At 38.4% G+C, this 25,589-nt stretch overlaps 1 protein-coding gene and 1 long non-coding RNA gene across 56 annotated transcripts in view; one reads left to right on the top strand and one right to left on the bottom strand.

Annotated features, from left to right (window-relative positions):
* The window catches only part of DLG2-AS2 (DLG2 antisense RNA 2), an 87,698-nt gene extending 86,764 nt beyond the window's left edge, over positions 1–934 (top strand). The window contains exon 12 of the long non-coding RNA NR_187249.1: positions 736–934. This is a non-coding gene — a long non-coding RNA (DLG2 antisense RNA 2). The remainder of the gene's footprint in view (positions 1–735) is intronic.
* The window catches only part of DLG2 (discs large MAGUK scaffold protein 2), a 2,173,362-nt gene that overhangs the window by 269,445 nt on the left and 1,878,328 nt on the right, over positions 1–25,589 (bottom strand). For 2 of the 55 annotated variants that reach the window (NM_001377977.1, XM_017017289.2), the window contains exon 1: positions 400–469. The exons of the other annotated variants lie outside the window; for them this stretch is intronic. In NM_001377977.1, coding sequence (NP_001364906.1) covers positions 400–436 — 37 coding nt within the window. In that variant the 5' untranslated portion in view covers positions 437–469. Of the gene's footprint in view, positions 1–399; positions 470–25,589 lie in introns of those variants that run through there. 55 annotated transcript variants of the gene reach the window in all.

Raw genomic sequence — 25,589 nt, forward strand, 5'->3', positions numbered from 1 at the left:
CCGTGTGTGTGTGTGTGTGTGAGAGAGAGAGAGAGAGAGAGAGAGAGAGAGAGAGAGAGAGAGAGAATATCAAGAGTCTAGCAGTTCACATGAGATAATCCTGCTGAAGAGGCCAGTGGTAAATCAAACTCAGAGTGTGATTCTGAGGTTGCATTTAGTTGAAGGAGGATAAAAATTCACTGATTGTTGTTCTCACAGAACACAGATAGCAACAGACATGAAAACAGAGCCACTGTAGAAAATGCCTGCAAGCAGTGGCTACTAACAAACGGCAGGGAAAGGCTGTTTTAGGAAGGAAAGGGAGGAGAATCTGCTGCCCTCTTTTCATTTTACTGGCCACACCTCCCCCACATGGTCTGTCAAGAGAAATGGGTCTGAGAAAAGCAGCATGATTCTCACCACAGCTCTTTAGCAAGTTTCCAGGGGTTTTCAGCATAGCAGGCAGCTGCTTCCCAAATTCAGCTCTGTTCCCTCCTCCTGGTTGAGCTGCTTGGTGTATAAACTCCGCCTGGCCAGCACACACCTCCTGACGCTCTTGAGTGGTGGCCAAAGCCTGTTAGGAGTGAAGCAGGTAGGGCTACCTTCCCAGGCTAGTGGCAGAGCTAGTTTGAGATGCTTTGCAACACAAACAAGCCAATTTGAAAGATGGGATTATTTTCTCCGTTTTAAACGCTGTAACAAATCACTTTCCAGATGTTGGCTATCTCACTCACCTCTTTTTCTTTCTCTTCTCAGTTAAAAAGGCTTAGTCCTGGAAAAGTCGAAGAGGTGAAAACCTGCCTGGGGAGGCTGCTGAAGGACGCCAGGAAGAATTCTTATCTCCAAATTCAATCCTGCCTCCCAGCTAGCTGCTGGTGTTTGAAATTCCAACTCTGAAGTGGTAGTCTGGTATCTTCTTTTAAAATGTGGAAGAGAGTAAACAAAGTTATTCACAGCGTAGTGTTAATTCTTCAGCTGCAGGCTGGAATCTGCTGGCTCCCCTTAGGCAGGAAATGCCTGCTTAAATCGTCCCTTAGGTGGGAAGAAAATTCAAAAAGGGAAGGTTTATGGAGGCGGACTTTCACTAATTTCACCTTTTTGCGTGGCAAAACCAAGTCAAGAAATAAGGTCCTCTCAATCTCAGAAATTAATCTTTGTCTTCATTTAATTTGAACCAGGAAAACTTGTAATGCCAACATCAAGACTTTGTTAGTTAAAGCTTTTCTTAATATTTTAGGATGAATAGCTAAAACTTGGAAACCAGGACGATTTAGATTCCTTCCTAAAACCATTTTCCAGGTACGCTTAAGGACTTTTGTTTTGATGTGTGCTATATATGCATTTGAAGCCAAAGCACAGATGTTGATATTCATGTTTTAATGGTTGGTCATTTGATTAAGCGGAGCTCAGACATTTTCACTTTCCCTCTCAATATTATCACTGCAGTTCGGTTTAACAAGGCACTATTTCCCAGCACGGTCTACTGCTACCCAAATCAGCTGTGGTGGTCACCATGGTAACCACCCACTCATTTTTCCCTGTTATTTCACTTTATAACACTTAAAGAGCAGTGCACAGGCTAAAAAACCCTATGAGGGAAAAAAAAGTCCCTCAAATAGGAGTCAATCAAGCTCACCTGAGATGCAAAGTCATCTAAGTGTAAATGTTTTATTTTTTAAAAAAAATCAGCTGTGAATGTATTCATCAGAAACAAATGATCACTAGGAAAACAGCACTGAAAAGTTGAATCTGCTCATTGCTTGGAGACTAAAAACATTTTAAAAGTGTTTTTTAGGGATAAAATGGGGTTAACACTAACATTTCTAACTAATCTTGACAAAGGGCTTCCCTCGATGGGATTGAAAGCTGTGGAAGTCTCCAGGGTTTTAGGTTAAATCATAAAACTAAACAAGGTCTGTTTAAACCACACCTACGAGCTTGGGATTGTATTTTTCTATATGAATTTCCTTCCCTCCCCACACAAAAATATTAGGAGAAAAGTTTTTTAAAAAGAACTTTCTTTCAAAGCAGTATTTTGCTCATTTATTTTATGATTGGTTATTGAGTCTGCCAATCATACGTCTAAATGACAAGGAGGTATGGGAAATCAGATGAGTCACTGAGCCAGGCAGGAAGGCAGGTATTCAATCAAATCCCCCCAAAAGATAAGGGCTGCACAAGTGTAGACCTGTAGACCATCTCTCTGTTAGACACAGGTATTTGACCATTGCCAAACAGGTCAGCCACAAGTGGAAGCTAATCTTGACAGCAAGTCAGTTATTGCAGACCCTGAGAGACATCAGATCTGCCTGAAAACAAACAAACAAACAAACAAACAAACAAACAAACAAACAGTGCTTTGAGGAGTATCATGAAGACTTTCCGTTTCTCTGCAGGCATCCTGATAGCATGCCCCTTTTGGCTCCTAGAAAGACAATAATGACCCCTTCAGATGAACACTCTCTTCCTGCCCACAAATGCCTGTTGCATCTAAGACAGGTGTCTTACCTCTTCCCAATCACCACCACGGATAAAAAATAATTGAAAATGATTCTCCCACCATTGCAAAATGATTCTACTACTTCTAGTAGAGAACTTCTGGTTTTCAGGGATCAGGACTCTCCAATTCCTCTGCTCACTGAGGTTGAGATTCAGTGTTGTTTTAACAATATAAGAGCAGCTCCTATCACTTTTCAAACTGAACAAGCTTATTTTCATAGCCTCTACATAGTCTACATAGATAATTTTATTCAACACAATCAACAGTCCACTCATTCCCTGGTTGAGATTGCCTAGGGACAGATTTTGAGGGTGATGCCGATAAGTAAGTTGTAAGGGACCTCTTAAACAGACAGGAGACTTGAGGGACCCAGGGTTCCAGAGTCTGTCCTATGTAGAGGCCACAGTGATTGTTGTTCACAGCCATTATCAGCTGGTCCCTCTCCACCTTCCACTCCCCACCACCCAAGGCTAATGTGGTGCACAGGGGAGAGGTTTATAGGGAAAACTCAGTGGATTCAGGTGCAACAGGTGCCCTTGGACTGTGAGTAATGCAAATATTGACATCTGGAAAGCCTGGAAGAGTCATTATTACTTGGCTCCCCTTTGCCTTCTACTGGACACCTCTTCCTTCCCAAAAGTTCCCAGGATTTCTTTGTGACTTTTCCAAAGCTCCCTGCTTCCTATTCTGTTCAAAAGTCTCTCCAATTTTAATATAGTCCATGTAAAATATAAAATGGGTGGAGTGGATGGAGTGCAAAGCTATCAGATTTGTTATTTGATTTAAAGTTTAAGACTAGGGAACATGGAGACTTGGTTCTAGTCCAACCTCCGAAAAATCCACTTCGGTGATTTTAGTCAGATTATTTTCACTTGGCTTTTTCATCTATCAAACTATAAATTTAGTGAGATCAAACAAAAGGAAGTTCTCTGTAAAGTTAAAAGTTTAGTTCAAATTTTAAAGGCCACAGAACTATTATACAGCTGAAGTCATACTATAGATTGGAGAGTTCAGCCAAATTCATGGATTTTACAGGGCATAAAGTCTTTGGTTAGTGGTATCACAATTGTAGTGATATGAACTAGAATCTTCAGCCTCAAACCTCCACATCTAATCAGGCACCAAATCCCATTAATCTTACCTCCAAAATGTCTCTCTACTCTGTATGTCCCTCTGTTGCCACTGCCACTGTCATGAATGCTACTCTCTCCAAACTTGCTCCTTCCCTCTTATGTCACGTTCCCTTAGTGCATTAGCCACACCAGCAGTCAGAGGACTCCTTCTAAAATGCTCACCTGATCTTGTCTCTTCTCTGTTCAAATCCATTGCTGACTCCCCATCAACTAAAGCGCAAAGCCCATGTTTTTAGTAAAGCACATGACACCTTCACAATTTTGCTTCCCTAATAGCCTCTCTTCTCACCATCTTCTTCCTAGAAAACTTGGTGACTTTATACAGACAGCTCTTTCTTCTTTTTTGTACACTCACTTTATTCATTCTTCTAAAACACACTCAAACACTGCTGCCTCTGGGAATCCTTCCAAACCTCACAGACTGAGATAATGACCAACCCACTATTCCCATAGCATTTCCTATATGCCTGTTATTCCAGCATTTCTCACACTATCCTGCAATGTTTTGGATCCTTGCTTGGCTGAAGGTTCCACTGGTATGACCCAACATAGCATTTCTGATGGCCTGGTTTGAATAACTCACAAAGGACTTTGCACAAATCCCGGACACATCTAAGCAGTTCTGGGGCAAGGAGTCATTCTTCCCCTGCTTTCAGCAATGTCATGCCAGCAACACTCTTGTCTTAGGCCTAAATCACAGGGCCTTCCTCCTTGAAATAGGTTCAGTTCCTGGGAATCCATTTGGTCCCTGCACTTTAACTTACAACTGAACAGGGATTTAACAGCACTTATGCCAGTGTTTGCAAAACCGTGATACACAGTTGTCTTGCCCAGGAATAAATTAAGGTTGGTAGAATATTGTTGTCCTGTTTTATTTTTCTTTCTTTTTTCTTTTTAAAATTCTTTCCTTCTACAATGCAGGCATGATTATAAGCATTGTTACTTCCACTAGGTAAGTTCCAAGATATGCTACTGTGAAGATATCTTAATAAATTATTTTAGACAATGCTAGGTAAGAAAAAGTCCCACCCAGGAAAGACATGTGTAAGTCTGTAAAGTATATATTTCTTATTTATCAACTGCTTAACAGGCAAAGTTAAAGGTTTAAATTCTGATGTTTGGACGTTCATTGCCACTAAGGATAATATTGTAAGTTATTCTGCAAATGACTCTAAATACAACATTTAATGGTGGGGTGGACATCTTTCATTCAAATCTAAAGCTAAGGAAGGGAAGTGGACCTTATTAGGCAGAAGTTTCCTGTGGTACTTGTGACAGTTACTGAATGAAAAACAAAGGTAGAGTTTTTCAAAAGCATATTTCAAGCATACAATCTCCGTGTGGGACAGCCCGAGCCTTCCTGAAAATGAAGCACTCCAAGCTTCCTCAGGTTAATCAAGTCTAATAATACAGGAATTACTCTTCCTCAGCTGGGTACTTAAATCATGAGCCTGGAGATAGTACACATGTGGAGGACCTTCCAAAATGGACTATAAATCACATCACCTTGCATTAAGTTCTTCAAACCAGCTGGACCAGCCTTCACCATTCTCTGTGAGCTGAAAAATACAGGATCATAGTTCGCAGGGCTGCAGATAAAATTCTGCAGCAGTCAATTCGGTGGAATTGATGAAGGTGGCAGTAAATTCAGTGGAGATTCTATACATTAGACTCCAGTCTGGGCAAAGTTGAATTGGCAGTCTTTGTGCATCTTAATAATTGAATGTTTTATAGTGAATCTGAGTTGCCCATTTCTATACAGATTCATTTATTGCTAAATGAACATATGACCATTAAAATATATCTTCATTTAAGAAGAGTGAGCATGAAAGCATGATACTTTATACACAATAACGTCAGATCAGAAACCAAGTCACTTGTATCAGAAAAGTAAACCGCTTTATAGAACCAAAAATAAAACAAAACAAACTTTTTTTAATTGTAGAAACAATTGGAGTTTACTAAGTAAAAATACAAGAGATTTTTAAAGAAAAGATATTAGAACAAAATAGATATTGCTACTCAGGGTCAATCATTGTGAGTATATTTGTCATTTCCTTCTAGGTGTTTTTTTATGGTTTTTTTTTTTTTTTTTTTTTACAATGTTAAGGTCACACTATATCAAAAAAATGTTCACTTTACTGTTTCATCTGCTATAATTGCACACATTTTCCTGTTAATACCTCTTTGTCAGAAACATTTTAATAACTCCTTAAAATTTCACTGAGTAGATACCTTGTAAATTACTTAACCATTTCCACTTGTTGAAAATTTATAATACAATATTTCAAATTTTAAGAACATATACTTAAGCTATAATGTATATGATTGTGGGAGACCGGAATATGCCTCCCCAAAATATAAAGAATTACTGAGCTAAAGACAATCAAGAAGAAGCAGATGTGGGAAAACTCTCTGCCCTCCATTTTCCTAAAAGCAGCACATAGATTTACAAAGACAAAGGTATTCTCCCCCCATCCCTGCTTTTCTACCAGGGAGAGCAAAGGTTAACCACTGAACACAACTTTGGACCCTCATCAGCCTGGTCATGGTACCAGGAGAATCTACATTAACAAGCTTTACTAAGTAGCCTTTATCTGCCATTTATTTGGCTTCCTACAAACTGCTCGCTGTGCCTGAAGAGACTCAAAGTCCTTTTCCTTCATCTTGTCACTTCTCTAAAAATTTGCTGTTTCTCGTTGAAGATGTTACATAAGCTGAATTTCAAAGTCACTTCTTTGAGAATTACTCATGCCCTGGTTGTCGCCCATGTGTATATGAAACCAGGGGTCTGTTCCAACTAAGAACCTATAGGGGTCATTCTTCCTTTCTCAGCATGATTATTTCCAATAAGGGGGCCTTACTAGGTCCCTAAATTTTAGATGATGAAACAGAAATTAGCAAGGGTCAAAAACATCTAAATAAAGCTCATTTTATAGATAGGCTAGTGGTTATGAGTTTATTCTGTTGAGTTAGTATACTCATCGGCATTAAGTCCTGGTTCTGCTATTTCCAAGTGGCCCTCTGCGTTATGTAATTTCCCTACCTCAGTTCTCTTTCTTTTTTTCTTTTGTAAGTTCAGAGAAACAAGTGCAGAATGTGAAGGTTTGCTACATAGGTATACATGTGCCATGGTGTTTTGCTGTACCTAGCAACCCATCATCTAGGTTTTAAGCCCCTCATGCATTAGCTATTTGTCCTAATGCTCTCCCTCCCCTCTCCCCCCAGCCCCTGACTGGCCCTGGTGTGTGTTGTTCCCCTCCCTGTGTCCATGTGTTCTTGTTGTATAGGTCCCACTTATGAGTGAGAACACGTAGTGTTTAATTTTCTGTTCCTGTGTTAGTTTGCTGAGGATGGTGGCTTCCAGCTTCATCCATGTCCCTGCAAAGAACATGATTTCATTCCTTTTTTATGGGTGCATAGTATTCCATGGTGTATACGTACCACATTTCTTTATCCAGTCTATCATAGATAGGCATCTGGGTTGGTCCCATGTCTTTGCTATTGGAAATAGTGATGCAATAAACACACATGTGCATATGTCTTTGCAGTAGAATGATTTATATTCCTTTGGGTATATACTCAGTAATGGGATTGCTGGGTCAAATGATATTTCTGGTTCTAGATCCTTGAGAAATCACCACACTGTCTTCCACAATGGTTGAAATAATTGACATTCCCACCAACAGTGTAAAAGCATTCCTATTTCTCCACAGCCTCGCCAGCATCTATTGTTTCTTGACTTTTTGATAATCTCCATTCTGGCTGCCTGCCTCAGTTTTCTTATCTGTTAAATGAAAATAAGAGCTATACCACCAGAAAGGGTTATCATTAAATTAGTACCTTTAAAGCACTTAGTACAGCATTTGCCACACAATAGTCATTTAAATAAATGTTAGCAACTTAAGAACAATTGTCAATGTTACTAGTGCTTTGTTACTATTTGGTATTATTCATAATTATTATTACTAATAATTTGATTTTGCTGAGCCATGGCTATATTGTCAGAAGAGACTGACTGAAATGTACTTACTGATTAATTTCGATCTAGTTAGTATGTTAAAGACGTGTTCATTTAAAGAGAAAGCCATTTTGTGTTTTTGGATGTGATTCCAGAAAGCACGTATAGGAAGCTGTTTTAGGGAAAAAACTCGGTTGTGGGCTGGAGAAATAATTAAATTAATTATTTAATTAAAACATACAATCTCAAGGGTGGTAGGAAGCTAAAGGGTAATTTTGGGTAACATTCTCCCCTTACTCCAACCAGATGCCAGGTGACCTTCAACTATTCTTAAATGTCTCTCATGTTGGGGAGCTTAATACCTACCAAGGTAGCTATTATGCTTAGAAATTTAGTTTTATATGGAACCAAAATATGTCTTTCTGTAACTTCAACATGTTGATAATAAACTCACAGATAACCCTAAACAAGCTTTAACAGTGAATTTTCCGTGTAGTGAAATGATGGGGATCACAACTTCTAATGGATTTATTTTGGAATTTAAAAGAAATTGGTAAGAGCCCAAAGCGTATAAAACCAAGAATTCATTATGCAGGCTTTGTGGGTATTTGAGAAGATTTATGTATTCATTATCATGTGTGCTTTCCTGCAAATTAAACAATCTAAAATAAAAGGAAAGCTTAATGATTTTTCTCAAGAAAAAATGTCTAAAGCTAGAATTCTAAAATGGCTCCTTTAAAGTTCAGATGGAAGCTCTTTCATAGTTTCATGCTCCAACTGGGGAGGGGAATGGGGGAAGGAAGCACTGGGAAACACTTTCGCTGAGGTAGAAAGCTCATAGCTCACCTTCTGAGGACATCTGCTTCTCCATAACTGAACCACTTTCTGCACAGTAGTGAACACTCAGAAGTATTTAGAAATTGACTCAATGGCTGGGCGCGACGGCTCACGCCTGTAATCCCAGCACTTTCGGAGGCTGAGGCAGGCAGATCACTTGAGGTCAGGAGTTCGAGACCAGCCTGGCCAACATGGTGAAACCCCATCTCTGCTAAAAATACAAAAATTACTGGGCATGGTGGTGGGTGCTCGTAATCCCAGCTACTCGGGAGGCTGAGGCAGGAGAATCACTTGAACTTGGGAGGCAGAGGTTGCAGGGAGCTGAGATCATGCCACTGCACTCCAGCCTGGGCAATGGAGGGAGACCCCATCTCAAAAAAAAAAAAAAAAAAAAAAAAGGAAAGAGAAAAGGAAAAAGAAATTGAGTCAAATGGCAACCCTGGTAAATGAGGAGCTCTGTGAGTCACTAATAAAACCACTCACTAGGACTTAACAAAATCTCTCCATACTGCATATCGTATCAGGCATGTTGACCTATCACATCACTGAAAAAGCAGGGTTTCTTTGCATAAAGATTAACTAATGTATTTGGTATTTGATTTTCAGTCTCTAGCACAGAAGCTGGCAAGTAGCTGGTGTTAAATAGTGCTCAGGTGGCTGAATGAGTGAAAATCCATCCCTGGGAGCCACAGGAAGAAATGCTTAGTCCCTCTAATGTCTTGTTACTTCGGTAGCTGCTCAAATATTGGAGGACTGAGACTTACTCTTCTGGCTTCTTCCTCCTCTCTACAATCATCACTTGTCTCTAGCCCAGGCTAACTATGCCCAGTTCTAGCAATCAACTTCAAATCCCTTCATCTAAGAAATTTCCAAATGTGCCTTTGCTCATTTGTTTCTTTGTTGTTGTTGCTTTAAATGGATTTAGGAGGATACACGTGCAGTTTTGTTACATGGATATATTGTGAAGTGGAGAAGTCTGGGCTTTTAGTGTAACCATCACCCAAATAGTGAATATTGTACCTATTAAGTAATTTCTCATTCCTCATCCCTCTCCTACCCTCCCACCCTCCCAAGTCTCCAGTGTCTACTATTCCACTCTGTATGTCCACATGCACACATTATTTAGCTCCTACTTATCAGTGAGAACATGTGGTAGTTGACTTTCTAAGTTATTTCACTTAACACAATGGCTTCCAGTTGCAACCATATTGTTGTAAAAGACATGATTTCATTCTTTTTTGGCTAATATTCCATATCTATATTTATCTATAGACAGAAATATCTCTACATCTCTCTATATGTATCACATTTTCTTTACCCAATCATTTGTTGCCCACACTATTCATAGAGGTCACGGTGAACTCATATCTGGCATATCTGAGTAACCTTCTTTAAAAGTATGCTTTCCAAATTGCAAATCACAACCCAAAAGTGGATTGTGAAATCAAATCAATTTATGATCACTAATTTTCCCTTCCTTCCTTCCTTCCTTCCTTCCTTCCTTCCTTCCTTCCTTCCTTCCTTCCTTCCTTCCTTCCTTCCCTCCCTCCTTCCCTCCCTCCTTCCTTTCTCTCTCTGTCTCTCTCTCTCTTTCCTTTCTTTCAGATGTAGCCTTGCTGTGTCACCCAGGCTGGAGTGCAGTGGCACTATCTTGGCTCACTGCAACCTCTGCCTCACAGGTTCAAGCGATTCTTCTTCCTCAGCCTCCCGAGTAGCTGGGACTACAGGCACAGGCTACAATGCCAGGCTATTTTTTTGTATTTTAGTAGAGATGGGGTTTCACCACGTTGGCTAGGCTCATCTTGAACTCATGACCTCATGTGATCTTCTTGCCTTGGACTCCCAAAGTGCTGGGATTATAGGCATAAGCCACTGTACCCAGCCCATAGTTTTCTTTAAAAAATAAAATAGAAACTTCAGAGGATAATGCACACAGTAAGAGTATTATTTCATGAAACATTTATGTCAATTGTTTAATTATGTGTGCCTATGTATCGTTATATATACATTAATATTATATATATACACATATGTATAAAATACACATTTTATACATATTTGTCGTACACCACACACAAACAAGGCGCCCCACACAGATTGTGCAGAACTTGTTATAGGTATTAGCCTCTACTCACCTGTTTGTCTTGTCACCTTTGTGTAGGGGTTAAACTGTATTGACATAAGTGGTGGCTTTGTGTATGTGTGTCCTCTGTTTTAAAATAAATATAATTATTTTTTTAACATTTGATATTAATATTGGCCGATTAGAGAGGGTTAGGATGGAAGGTGAGGGCATCACAATCATGCCACATAAGTTTTTCTTTGGCCTTTTAAGGTAAATCACTTGTAATTTCATAGGTACGTATTTTAAAATGTAACCAGCACTGAGTGAATTGTTAAGGATTATTGATTTGATATTTAAATTAGTGTTTTAGTAAAATTGATTAAGGATTTAATTTGGTATTATACCAGGAAGACTAGGTCACACAGCTTCTACTGCACAGGCAGAGAGGTGGAATCCTCCCAGTTTGGGGGCAAGATGCTTTTTAAAAAGCCACTGAATCCTCAGTGTTTTCTTTAATTGGTCATAGTTGTTAAATCCTACTATTCCTACTTTTAATGATAAATTTAATTTAGGTTTACCATTATCCCTTCTATTTGTTGCAGATAATTTTGTTAACTCTTGGTGACACATAATTTGCACTCTGACTATATTTTGGCCTAATATTTTGTAATAATTAGGCTTTAAGACATATGGACACTTAAATCATCTGTATTCCTATTGCTAAAGCATATGCAAACATAATTCTTCCCACACGTACATTTTGCTTTTATAGTCACATTCTTTCTAACCAGCGGTTCTGTTTACCACTGGAAATTGAGAGTGATTGGAATGAATGAGACATAAGATGGTTCACCCTTTCTAAGTGAACTACAGTCTGAAAAGTTTGAGATCTGCTTATTTAACAGATGAAAAGACAGGTCCAGGGAAATGAACTGACTAATCAAAATTAGCAATGGGACTTGGAAAATTCCAGTCTCCAGATTCACTCTCTGCCACCAAATCATACTAACTCCAGCAACATCCAGAAAACAGGGCCTGACCCAGAGCAGAGGCCTCATAAATGTGTGCTTAGTTGCTTTAGTTGCGATTAGATTGGACAGTATAAAACTACAGATCTGTTAGGTCACAAACTGTCAAATATTGACATTTTTCATACAGTTCAACCTAAATCATTTTATTTTAATAACTCTGCCTATGCCACTCTGAGGTTTTGCTTTTCACATGAGGAGCATGATAGTATATTTGTTAAGAGGGCATATTTTTTAAGACTTGAGCCAAACCGCTCAGGTTCAAGACCCAAGTCTTAAACTGATTGGTCATGTGTCCCTGAGCAGATTAGATTACTTAGCTTCTCTGTCTCTCAGTGTCCTCATAGGGGAAAAGGGTATTACACAAGTGTTTGCTTTTAATATTATTATTACTAGAACTCAACATACATACTAATTAGCCAGATGGCCTGACCAAGTTAGGGCAACTTTATGCACCTGTTCTGAAATGCATTTTTTAGATACAAAAAAAAAAGAGAAAGATACAGAGATTCTGCAATGTCTTTTCTTGGCAAGATTGGCTATTTATTTGTTTGACTGACATTTGGCTTTATTGTTTACAATGGTTGTCTCAAAAGTCCTATTTTTCTCTGCTGACAGCGCTGGTTAATAAATAAAACAGAGGCCAAAACATCCTAGCAACAGAAATCAACTGTGTGTATGATTTGTTGCTCTGTTTTAATTTCATCTATTTTTGAAAATGTAGTTGCTCTCTAAAGTGCCTGTTTCTTCTCTAGAGCATTGCCCTAAAGAATAAGAAGAAGAAGAAAAAAAAAGCATCCAAACTTGAAGAACAGCTTTGATCAGCTCATAATGCACAGTGAAGACAATAATTTAAGGGTGAATCAGAGTGCAGCAAAGTGATTCCAATGAAACCTGATGCTGGCTAATTACTTCTCTATAGATGGCAGTGTTCAGTTTACTGAGCATCTGTGCATGACAGAATTTGGGACACTGTGGGTGGTACAATTCCAAGATATCTACACAATCTGAAAAGCAAAATATTCCAACTACAAGTATCATTTTATTAGGTGAAATAAACTATGTATACAAAAATCTCATTTTGTAATTAAGCCATAGGCCACACTGTAGAGCCCCAAAAACCACACCTGTTTGGATAAAAGCAAACAAATCATACCATGGAAGCTGTACCTGTTTGGAATGGGACTTAGAACAAAAGGGTTTAGAAGACAGATGCTACTGTGATGCTGCAAAAGATTATTTACCTCCCAGATTTTAGGTGTGAAGCTGTAATAAAGTTAATACAACTCTTTTATCAGATGAATTATTTTTAGAATTACTTTTTCACTACATTCTCATAATGTCCTACTGAAAACAAACATTCTCATAAAGAAAAAGTGAGTGGAGGAGAAAAGCAATTAATCAGACAAAAAAAGATAAAGTATGTTGAGAAATGAACTTTCATATTGATTGGTTCTATTTTTTAAAATTATGCTTTAATTAATGGCATACATTTTCATGCTCTCTTGGAGCTATACTTTTTCTCCATTTCTGCTGAATCTGAAAGATATGTTTCTACTTAAAACACATCTCAAATATATTCGGTGGCAAGGCACATCAAAGTCCATACGATTATAAACACAGATTGGAAAAGGATAGCAAATAGAACTATATGCTTGGTCCATAGTTAACTCTAGATAATTGTTAAATGAATAATTAAGAAACAATAAATAGGCCGGGTGTGGTGGCTCACGCCTGTAATCCCAGCACTTTGGGAGGCCAAGGCAGGTGGATAACGAGGTCAGGAGATCGAGACCATCTTGGTTAACACTGTGAAACCCCAATTCTACTAAAAATAGAAAAAATTAGCTGAGTGTGGTGGTGGGTGCCTGTAAAAGGGTTAGTTGAACTGGTTCCTGAGGTTTTCTTCTGTACTTGCAATTTTCCTGTCTTCTCCACTTATTCTTTTGGTGATGCTGCCTTACATAATCTTCTTTTCTTCTTCTTCTCTTTAATACCTGTGCCCCCTTGCTCTCCTCCCTCTCCTCTCAGATCCATATTCAGAGAGGAACCCCAGAGGGAAACAATTAAGAGATGAGAGGATGGCATTGGATAGCTTATGAAACAGGGTTAGTGATGATGCCAATTCTCTTCCTCCTGATCCTTCTGTGAGAAAAGGAGGTTTAGAACAAGTTCAGATTCCAAGGGTCTGTGTTTTCCAGGGGGAGTTAAACATGCACCATCACAAATTATAAACTGCTGCTCTTTATCTACAACCAGCCACCATTACAATGTTTACCCAAACCCACATCAGCAACCACTCACTGTCCACAGTAATGCTGACATTTACCAATTTAGGCTTCTGGAGATAATATGATGTGCAGTACACAGCCAAGATTTTTTTTTTCTAGTTCTTATGTTGAAAAAGAGGGGCAGGCTTCTCTTTGGGGGCTGCTCCCCAAAGACACACACTAGTCACTAGCAAACCACTGGCATTATTGTCCAAATGAAATGTACCTGTCTAGCACACTCAGCTGAGCGGGCTGTGATTTGATAAATACATTAGGGAGAAAAGCTTCGAAATAATTTGAATTTAGTTCCAATTTCCTCTGCCTCAAAACAGCAGGAGATACAGTCAGACGGAGAAGCTGTGCTCTGTACAATAAGGGACAGAATTCTAAGTCACCAACTATCACCAAAGTTGTCATAATCTTCCTCATTTCTCTAAAATTTGCTCTACTCAGAGATTCTCCATCCACCCAAATCCTAGGCATCATATCCTAATTACCAAGTGTTGTCAAGCCGACTTCCTACACACCTCTCATATTCACCAGCTCCTCTCCCATCATAGCTGCATGATGATGGGTCCTTGTTGTCTGCCATCTGGACCATGAAAGTAACTGTCTTGCTTTATTCCTATCCATCTTCTGCCATCAAGGTGAACTTTTAACACACAAATCCTGCTCAACATCTTTTAAATGTTGCCTACTGTTGGTGACAGTGAAGTCCAAAGTGCTGGGGGATAAGCAGAGCTCAGTTAAGTGTGCATGATGGTTCAAATGGTTCTATTTATATTATTTTATTATTTATATGATTGTTTTCTCCTTGTATTAGTTCTTCTCTCTTTTTTTAAGGATTGTAGGCATCTTGAGGAAAGAGAGACATTCACAAAGCTGAAGGGCTTCACTGTGCCCCCATTTGAATTCTATGATTCAAATTATCTTAACTGGACCCACCACTGATGGGTTAAGATAATTTGAATCACAGAATCTTTACAGTATTTTGTAATAATCTGAAAAGTGGCCATAAGAATCTTTTGTGCTATGCAGAACTTCACTGGTGTCAAAGTACTTAAAAAGAGGTGTTAATAATAAATTATGCATTTTTATTTTTCATAAGCCTCTAAATTCTACTAATCGTTTCTATGGATAAATTGTTAACAGAAACATGTTACTTAGCAGATAATTAAAAAGAACATTAAGCATACTCAAGACATAAAGAAAAATATGCATTGGAGCCTTAAATCATATAATACTTCTGTGATATTAATCAGTAAGGAAAAAGAAAGATAACTCAATAGAAAAAATGACCGAGAGATTTGATCAGGCAATTCACAGTAGAAGATATTCAAATAGCTGAAAAATATATAAAAAAAGAGTTCAGCCTCAACCTCATTATTCATCAGAGAAATGCAAATTAAACCAAAATGAGATTTCCCAGAAGATAAAGTAAGCTTATTTTCCCCCATTCCTCCCTCTAATTACAGCTAAAAATCTTACATGTTATTTAGAAAACAAACACAGGAAGACTGAAAGGTAGACAGAAGGTAGCAGACTGGCTAGGGACCTCAGGGTACACCACAGTATGGAGTTCCTTGGATTCTCATGGACTCATCACAGTGCAGCTGGAGAGGAGCTGGTGAACATGAGAGGTATGTAGGAAGTAGGCTTGACGACACTTGGTAATTAGGATATGATGCCCAAGCATCTGGGTGGATGGAGAACCTCTGAGGAGAGCAAATTTTAGAGGAATGAGGAAGGTGATGACAAGTTTAGTGATAGCTGATGACAGAATTCTATCCCTTTTAGTACAGAGCACAAAGACAGCACAGAGCACAATGCAAAAGAAAAACTAATGTGGAAGTAAATTCATCTTCACTTTGCAAAACTATTAAGCAGTTGCTCCTAAAGCTAAACTAATACATACTCTACATTCCAGCAATTTTGCTCCTATATATACACCTTTGTTCCAAAGGACATGCACAAAAATACTCAGTGCAGCATTGTTAATAATAGTTAAGTACAGAAACAGCCTAAATGTCCATTAACAATAGAACGGATATGTGAATTGTGGTATTTTATACACTGGAATACTATACAACACTAAAAATGAATGAACTACACCTATATCCAATGACATGGATGATCTTCACAAGCATCAAGCTGAGTTTAAGAAACCAGACACAAAAGATTATATACTATATGATTATATTTATTTAAAGTGCCAACTGGATAAAAACTAATCAAAGACATTAGGAGTTAGGATAGCAGTTACTCTTCAGAAGGAGGCAGTACTTCTGGGAGAAGTACAAAGAAGCATTGTTTTCTCTCCTCATCTGAGTGGTGATCACGTAGGTATCTTCACTATGTATTAGCATAAGCTGTATACTTCTGATTTGTGCATTTTCCTGTCTATATGCTATCAATACAAATTTTATGAAAACAGTAAAAATAAATATACTTTCTCTGTCTCTCCTGATACAAAGTAAAGATGATATATTAGCAATGAGTGAAAAAGTTACTGCTTTTTGAAAACACTTGTGCCATGGAGGGAGCACTGTGAAGAAAAGAGTTTGGAAAAGTTTTCATTGCTGTATGCTTTTGCCATGCCCCCAGTGACTTGTGTTTTACCTCTCTGCATACTAAAACACATGGGGACAGAATTTTTGTCCTGCACAAAAATCCTCAACAAAATACTAGCAAATCAAATCTAGCAGAACATCAAAAAGTTAATTTACCGTGATCAAGTAGGCATTTTCCTGCGAGGCAAGTTTGGTTCAACATACCCAAATCAATGTGATTCACCACATAAACAGAATCAAAAGCAAAAAAACATATGATCATCTTAATAGATGCAGAAAAAGCTTTTGATAAAATCCAAATTCCCTTCACTGATAAAAACCCTTAACAGACTAGGCACTGAAGGAACATAACCTCAATATAATAAGAGACATTTATGACAAACCCACAGCCATTATCATATTGAATGACCAAAATCTTGGACCATTCCACTTTAGAACTGGAACAAGACAAGGATGCCCACTCTCACCACTCCTATTCAACATAGTACTGGAAGTTCTAGCCAGGACAATCAGGGAAGAGAAAGAAATAAAAGGTACCCAAATAGGAAAAGAAGAAATAAAACTATCACTCTTTGCTGATGATATGATTCTATACCAAGAAAATCCTAAAGACTCTACCAAAAGGCTCCTAGAATTGAGAAATGACTTTAGTAAAGTTTCAGGATACAAAATTAATATTAAAAAATCTGTAGCATTTCTATATACCAACAACATCATGGCTAACAGTAATATCATGAACACAATCCCACATATAATAGCCACAAAGAAAACGGAATACCTAATAATACAGCTAATCAAGGAGGTGAAATATCTCTAGAAGGAGAACAATAAAACATCTCTGAAAGAAATCAAAGGCAACACAAATAAATGAAAAAATATTTCATGCTCATGGATTAGAACAATCAATATTATAAAAATGGCCATACTGGCTGGGTGCAGTGGGTCATGCCTGTAATCCCACCACTTTGGGAGGCCGAGGCAGGTGGATCATGAGATCAGGAGAAAGAGACCATCCTGGTTAACTTGGTGAAACCCTGTCTCTACTAAAAAAAAAAAATGCAAAAAATTAGCAAGGCGTGGTGGTGGGTGCCTGTAGTTCCAGCTACTTGGGAGGCTGAGAACCTTTCCCTGACATTCTAGACAGACACACTGGAACTCTTCCCTGAAAACTCACACTGTATTTTGGAAGCTCAACCAAAAGACTGAGAATGCTGTCTCCCAGAAGACTGGTGATTTCTTGGGCACAAGGAGTATGTGCCTTTTTATCTCTTTATCCCAGTGCTTCAGACCAGCTAGAATACTAGAAACTTCACAAACGTTTTCTGAATAAACAAATGGGTTTCAAATTTTAGGGAAATATTGTATTGTATAATGGAAATTTGCTAAGAGAGTAAATTTTACCACACTTTTAACACACACACACACACACACACACACACACACAGACGTAACTGTTAGATGATGGCTATGTTAATTTGACTGACTGTAGTAATAATATCATAACTATGTATATGAAATATCAAAACATAATGTTGTGTACCTTAAATATATATAGTTTTTTTAAAACTTTAAAAGAGAAAAATAAATAGTACTCTAAGGAAAAAAAATCTATGGAAAAATTAGTTATTAGCAGGAGAAGGTTAATTTTCCATAGTCACAGACTTCTATCATTTGTGTTAGCAGAAATAATGCTACCAAGATTCAGGAGTCCTTGACTTTGCACCCACCTCTGCACTTTCTGGCTGTGTGATCTTTCATGGTCACTCTCCTTCTCTGGCTCTTTATTTCCTCTTTTGAAGGGATTGAATTAGCTCAACTCTGGATTCCTTCTAGTTTTAACAGTATGTACTTACTTTCTGTATGATACTCCTGATGTTAATGAAGCAGTAGTATTTACTGGGCACACACTACATTTCAAACCTTCCCAAAATACCTTTCATCCTGGTCCATATTGTCATTTTTACAGTAGAATTAGAATTAGAATTTTTCTGTCTTGAGATTAAAGTTTCCTCATTATCTGGCCCTAATCTACCATTGGACCATAAAATTCATTCAATTAAATTTAACATATAGTTATGGCATTAGACACCCAGAAGTTAGAAGTAAATGAAGACATCTCTATTGCTGCTTTAAAGTACCATATAGCCTAGTGAGAAAGACAACACAGGAACACAAACAAAGTAAAATATGACTTTGTGGGTTTCTGTAACCATCAACTTAATGTTAGTCAATAATTCTATCTTTGGCTGCATTAATAATGACTAAAAAGAAATGGATCTATCCAACCAAGACTAGGGTAATCTTCTTAGGCCAGGTCATAGGTAGGCCCTACATTTAGCTCTACAATTCATGTTTTAAAAGGAAGCTTGACTGAGCAGAAGAGGTGGTTTTATTCATCTCTGCTAATGGGACTACCCTCCATAGTCTTCTAAACCAGTAACTTCTAGCACCCTTGTCTCTTCCTTTTTCCTAACCCCTGCATCTAAGAGGTCATGAAATCCTGTCAGTTTTACTGCAGAAATATCTCTTCAATCCATTGTCTTCTTTTTCTATGCCCTAAGCACCCTACTTTATATCTCTGTCTCTTTCTCTCTCTTTCACTTACAATGTACATAACAGTGGGCAGGCCATTTTTTTTTTTTTTTTTTTTATGACAGGGTCTCACTTTGTCACCCAGGTTGGAGTACAGTGATGTAAACACAGTTCACACTACAATTTCGACTTCCTGGGTTTAAGGGATCCTCCCACCTCAGTCCCCCAAGTAGCTGAGACTACAGGTGCATGCCAACACACCCAGCTAATTTTTGCATTTTCTGTAGAGATGGCATTTCACTATGTTGCCCAGGCTGGTCTTAAACTCCTGAGCTCAAGAAATCTGCCTGCCTCATCCTCCCAATGTGGGGAGATTACAGGCATGAGTGACTGCTCCTAGCCATGGACAGGCTACTTCATCTTCTCAGTGCTTCAGTTTTCTCATCTATAAATTGTAGACAAAAAATAGCATGCACCTCAGAGGGTTGCTATGGGGATTACACGAATGAAAACAGGTAAAGGGCAGTGAATGTTCAATAAAGGTTGGCTATATTTATTACGTACTGGGTATGTCAATGGGTCTTCAGCATCTATTCCTACTTCTTTCTATGGGATTTCCTGACTACAGAGGCTGGAAAATGAAAAACTACATTTCTCAGACTCCCTTGCAGCTAGGGTTCACAATGCAAATTGGGTTTCCACGGTTAGATGCCCTAACTGGATGTGAAAGCTGAAGTAAGAGAGAGACCATCTTCCTGTTATCTTTCTACTGTCAACCAAGCTTATCCAGAATTGAATGTTGAGAGGCAGTTCTGTGGTAGTGGATAATATAACTGCTTTCTAATCCTTTTCCCCTTCTCTCTAGATTTCAAGTATTGCAGTGTGTTCTTGACTTTGATCCAGCAGCTGCCTCCTAATTCCCACTCCTTCAATTATTCAGCAATACTACAAACACTTAATTCCCTGAATTAAATTTCTTTCTTCTTAAACTACATAGGATAGTTTCTATTTCCCATATGCACTCTGATTAAATCATATGGTGACCTGTGGTCCTACACATAAGTACAGGGCAGAGATACAAACCAAGTACTGCACTATAGGAATATAAATTATAAGGTATTGCTTTTTGGCAAATCTGTGAACTCATTTCCCATATTAAATATGAAAGTCAACATCACCACCCTTTGTTATTAAGGACCTACACTTACATATATTCACTTTACGTAGCCACATACCAGAGAGTGATTTACAGTATGTTCTAGAAAACAGACAATTTAGTCCTCACCCAGAGATCATCTGCTTTCAGAATTCTGGAAATCCTCAGCAGTCTTTTAGTGTTTGGATCCGTTACCACTTCAATTTCATAGCTGAAAATACTGACACAGAAAATGCCTCATGAATGTTTATGATTCACCACTTCTGGGAGTCTAGGACACCTGCTTGGCACAAGGCTTTGGTATAAACAAGGGTTTCAGGAAGTTTTTTATTCTACCTACACAGAAGCTAAAACTGTGTTAAGTTAGCTGCCCAGACCTGCCCTGTAGTCATCAGATTTTGTTATGAAGTAAAATGATTAATTTCCAGAACCTTTCATGTTGAGGGAAAAATAATTCACTTTCCATACTTAGCAGTTTAATCCAGCGTGGCTCCAAGCCAGCTGTCTTCTTAGGATGCTGCAATACTCATACCTGTCATCAGCAATTAGCGAAAGCAACCAAAAATACGAATCTCAGTTCTCAAACTCTGGATACTGACACTCATGATTGGTTCCCATGCATCGCGATCAACTCATCTGCTCATCCTGAGGTTCTTTTTACAGGATTTAAACCCCTCATATATTCTCAGTGTTTGTGATGCATTCTGTAGAATAAAAACCTGGCCAAATGCTGTGAAAACAAATTTTGTTGGTTGTGTTCTTTATACAGCAAGAAGTGGCCAAAGTTTGAAAAAAATTAGAAAACTATGCAACACTATCCTTGAACTAAATTTATAAAATTGCATTGATTTAGCTTTCTTCTGTTCTACTCTAATCCTTCCACCTCTGTTTTTGATTTCAAAACCTCCCTGTCTCTTTCAAGATTTTACTCTCTCAATTATTCCTTTACTCTTTCATTTTATCTCCAACTTCTTCCTCTGTCCTAGCTCCTTCCCCTCAACAATTAAATATACTCAAGTCTTTCCTTTCTTAAAAGCCTGTAGCTGAGCACAGTGGCTGTAATCCCAGCGCTTTGAGAGGCTGAGGCAGATGGATCACAAGGTCAGGAGTTCGAGACCAGCCTGGCCAATATGGTGAAACCCCGTCTCTACTAAAAATATAAAAATTAGCCTGGCGTGGTGGCATGCACCTGTAGTCCCAGCTACTCAGGATGCTGAGATAGGAGAACTGCTTGAACCCAGGAGGCAGAGGTTGCAGTGAGCCAAGATCATGCCACTGCACTCCAGCCTGGGTGTCAGAGTGAGACGCTGCCTTAAAAAAAAAAAAATTTTTGCAATCTACTCATCTGACAAAGGGCTAATATCCAGAATCTACAAAGAACTCAAACAAATTTAGAAGAAAAAAACAACTCCATCAAAAAGTGGACAAAGGATATGAACAGACACTTCTCAAAAGAAGACATTTATGCAGCCAACAGACACATGAAAAAATGCTCACCATCACGTTCATCAGAGAAATGCAAATCAAAATCACAATGAGTTACCATCTCACACCAGTTAGGATGGCCATCATTAAAAAGTCAGGAAACAACAGGTGCTGGAGAGGATGTGGAGAAATAGGAACACTTTTACACTGTTGGTGGGACTATAAACTAGTTCAACCATTGTGGAAGACAGTGTGGCGATTCCCCAGGGATCTAGAACTAGAAATACCATTTGACCCAGCCATCCCATTACTAGGTATATACCCAAAGGATTATAAATCATGCTGCTATAAAGACATATGCACACGTATGTTTATTGCGGCACTATTCACAATAGCAAAGACTTGGAACCAACTCAAATGTCCAACAATGATAGACTGGATTAGGAAAATGTGGCACATATACACCATGGAATACTATGCAGCCATCAAAAATGATGAGTTCATGTCCTTTGTAGGGACATGGATGAAGCTGGAAACCATCATTCTCAGCAAACCATTGCAAGGACAAAAAACCAAACACCGCACGTTCTCACTTATAGGTGGGAATTGAACAATGAGAACACATGGACACAGGAAGGGGAACATCACACATCAGGGCCTGTTGTGGGGTGGGGGGAGCGGGGAGGGATAGCATTAGGAGATATACCTAATGTAAATGACGAGTTACTGGGTGCAGCACACCAAAATGGCACATGTATACATATGTAACAAACCTGCACGTTGTGCACATGTACCCTAGAACTTAAAGTATAATAAAAAAAAAGTTTGTAATACTACACTCCCTTCAGTTTTTCTTTCAAAGCAGCTCCTTATAACTTTATTTCTTAGATTGGAATTAGGTGACATATTACTAAGGTCCATAAGTTCTTCACAAGAAGATTAAGCTTCTGTTTGCATTTTCATGATTATCTTGAACAATAATATAAACACATTTTAGATCATCTGGGTGCCTGCCCTAAAACCAAGCAGTACCATAAGATTTCTTATCTCTTACCTTTGTATGTATGAATGCGTCAATACCAAATGGTACTGATTTAATTTTCTTGAGCCAAGAAGAAAAGAAAATTGATGGACATATAATAACCTTAAACAGTACCTTGGAATATTATACAAATGAGGAGAAGTGGTGGGAGGTTGGAGTGAGTCATAACATAGCACATGAAAGTAGAAGTATATCAAACTCAAAATTACCTGCAGCCAGTATCATACTTCATGTGGAGAACTGTTATGTAGTTTTGGTAGAATAACATAAGCAATTACATTAAATTAATATTGTAAGTTTGATTTTAATTTGCTTTAAAATCTTCCTTCCTTCCTTCCTTCCTTCCTTCCTTCCTTCCTTCCTTCCTTCCTTCCTGCCTTCCTTCCTGCCTTCCTTCCTGCCTTCCTTCCTGTCTCTCTCTCTCTCTCTCTTTTTTGACAGGGTCTGGCTCTGTCACTTAGGCTGGAGTGCAGTGGTACAATTCTGGCTCACTGCAACCGCCTCCCAGGCTCAAGCCATCCTCCCACCTCAGCCTTTCCAGTAGCTGGGACTACAGGTGGACGCCAACACACCTTGCTAATTACTTGTGTATTTTTGTAGAGATGGGGTTTCGCCATGTTGCTGGGCTCAAGCTATCCACCCTCAAGTGATCCATCCTGGGCTCAAACTATCCACACATCTTGGCCTTCCAAAGTGTTGGGATTACAGGCATGAGCCACCGCACCCGGTTTTGAATTTTCTTTATATTTATTTTATAAGCATATTTAGTTTTTATGGTTGTATTAGTGCTGCAAGTATAGATGTTTCATATGAAGTTTCTGTTTATATATATTATATATTTAAGTAATATAAACAAAAATTCTAAGCCAACCTGAGTTTACTCAAGGATTCTTTTCCTTTCTTATTTGAATTTTATTTTACAAACACTCATATAGAGCTTTCTATATACCAGATATTAAGTACTAACTCCTTGTAATAATCATATGACATAGGTATTGTTATTAGCTCCACTGTGCTGTGGAGAAGATTGAGGCACTTATAGAAATTAATAACCCATGATCACACAACAAGTAAGTGGTACAGTTGGGATTTAACAGGCAATCTGGCTTGAGAATCCCCATCTTTAATCATATAAAATGCTGCTTTCCTTTAGATAGATTCTGTATGTACTCTGTCAAGGTTTGAAAAATACCACTTTAGGAAATATGGTCTACCCTTGATACATATTCACGAGGGCTCTGTTCTTAGCTTTCTTCCCTTTACACTTGACATGTTCTCCCAGGACGATATCACTGATTACTACAGTTCTAACTATCAACCACACCTTGACTAGTTCCAGATCTCTAACTGTGGATTAGACCTGTATTCTGTTCTCAGGATGCATATAATCAACTGGACATTTTCATCTGCAACTTTCAGAGACACCTCATGTTCAACCTAGTTTAAATAAAGCCAAGCTTTCCCTTTCCCTGACTCCACTCTTACTCTAATAAGCCTGCTTTTTCTACTGTATTAGCCCTCCTGTTTAATGGTCCCACTTCCTACTCAAAATGCTCACTGTTTAGTGAAGAAGAGAGATAAACAGTCATTACAGTGAGTACATGACAATCACAGGGATATGTCCAAAATGCCATTCAGCTCAGAAAGAAACATGACTCTGCCTGAGGTAGAAGGGTCAAGGAAGGCTTCACTAAGAAGACAATGTTTAAACTGATTCACAGTAATGCCTGCTTACATTTAGAAAAGGAACTCTCATCTTTGTCCATTAGTATATAGTTTAAGGGTATCTTTTATGTGCACTATTTATATTGGCGGTAGAAAATAGAAATGTATGATAATTTTTCACTTTAGCTCCAAAATGAAATCTCTACTACTTTGTTCCCCTCCATTTCCCAGAAAAGCAGAAGTAGCAATTTTACAAGCTTTTTTTGCCATTTGAAATGAAATAAATGAAAGATAATATTTTCCGTACTCTTTTAAAAGATCAATTTATCTCTAAAACATTTTTCATACTCTAACATTTTATGGGAAAAATTCTACATAGATTTTGGTCAATTATATCAGTTTTGACTGACTCTGAGGCAGCTGCAGTATGTAGTTCATTAGTGGTCATGGCTCCCCATATGGCTTTTGTGGGTTGACCATCATAGGCAATAGGTCCTTCTAGACTTGTGCAGGTACCACATTGGAATTCTAGCAGCACAACACAGATGAGAGATGGCAGTGATGATTAGCATGGAGAGCCATAGAATCAGGTCACAGTTGCCAGAGAGGCAACCTTTTTGCCTTTCTTTTTGAAGATGTTCATCCTGATAGCGTCTCCTTCAGAAATAATTTTATTGCATAAAAGAGATGTCCATTCAAACTGCTCAAGCTAAAGTGATAATTTCCTTGTCAGGATACAGGGGTCATTTCTAGGAACCCAAGAAAAAGATGCAAATCCTGGCTTTGAAACAGTCTAGAAACAGCAACCACAAGGCCTAGGAATAAAGGGAGTTTTTCAGTTATGATCTGTGCCATTTGTCTCTCTCTTGGTTATACTGTCTCCTCTTGTTTCTTCCTGTGTCAGTTTCCCTCTTCCTTCTCTCTGCCAACCCACTTTCTCTGCACACAGAGCCCCCACCCAGCAGCTGTATTTCCAGCCTGCACCCCAGCTGTATGCCATCTTTGAGTTTAAGCACTAACAGAGAGAAATGCATCTCTAAGATGCAATTTCAAATCCTGAGGGGGTCTGATGAGTTCCTTTTGGTTCACATCTAGCTATGCACAGCGAAGTAAGATTATTTCTTAGAAATGTGTATGTAGGGACCTACACTGGGGAAAATTGGCAGATACCTTCAAATTGTCTCCTATGGGTATGTTTGTAAACACTGAAGTTTTGTTTCAAAGAGAGAACAGCCACAAAGCCTGACCTCATAAGATAAAATAAGTGAAGCGTTTTCTCTGCTTCCTAAGAATTATGCTGTTACTAATCAAAAAGACTGCCCTAATTACAGCCACCTGTGCCATTGAATAAACATAATTCTTCAGGATCAGGTTGTTATGAACTAATTTGATACATGTTACCTTTCACTTTTAGGGAGGGGGAACT

This window comes from Homo sapiens, chromosome 11 (assembly GCF_000001405.40).
Source record: "Homo sapiens chromosome 11, GRCh38.p14 Primary Assembly".
NCBI lineage: Eukaryota > Metazoa > Chordata > Mammalia > Primates > Hominidae > Homo > Homo sapiens.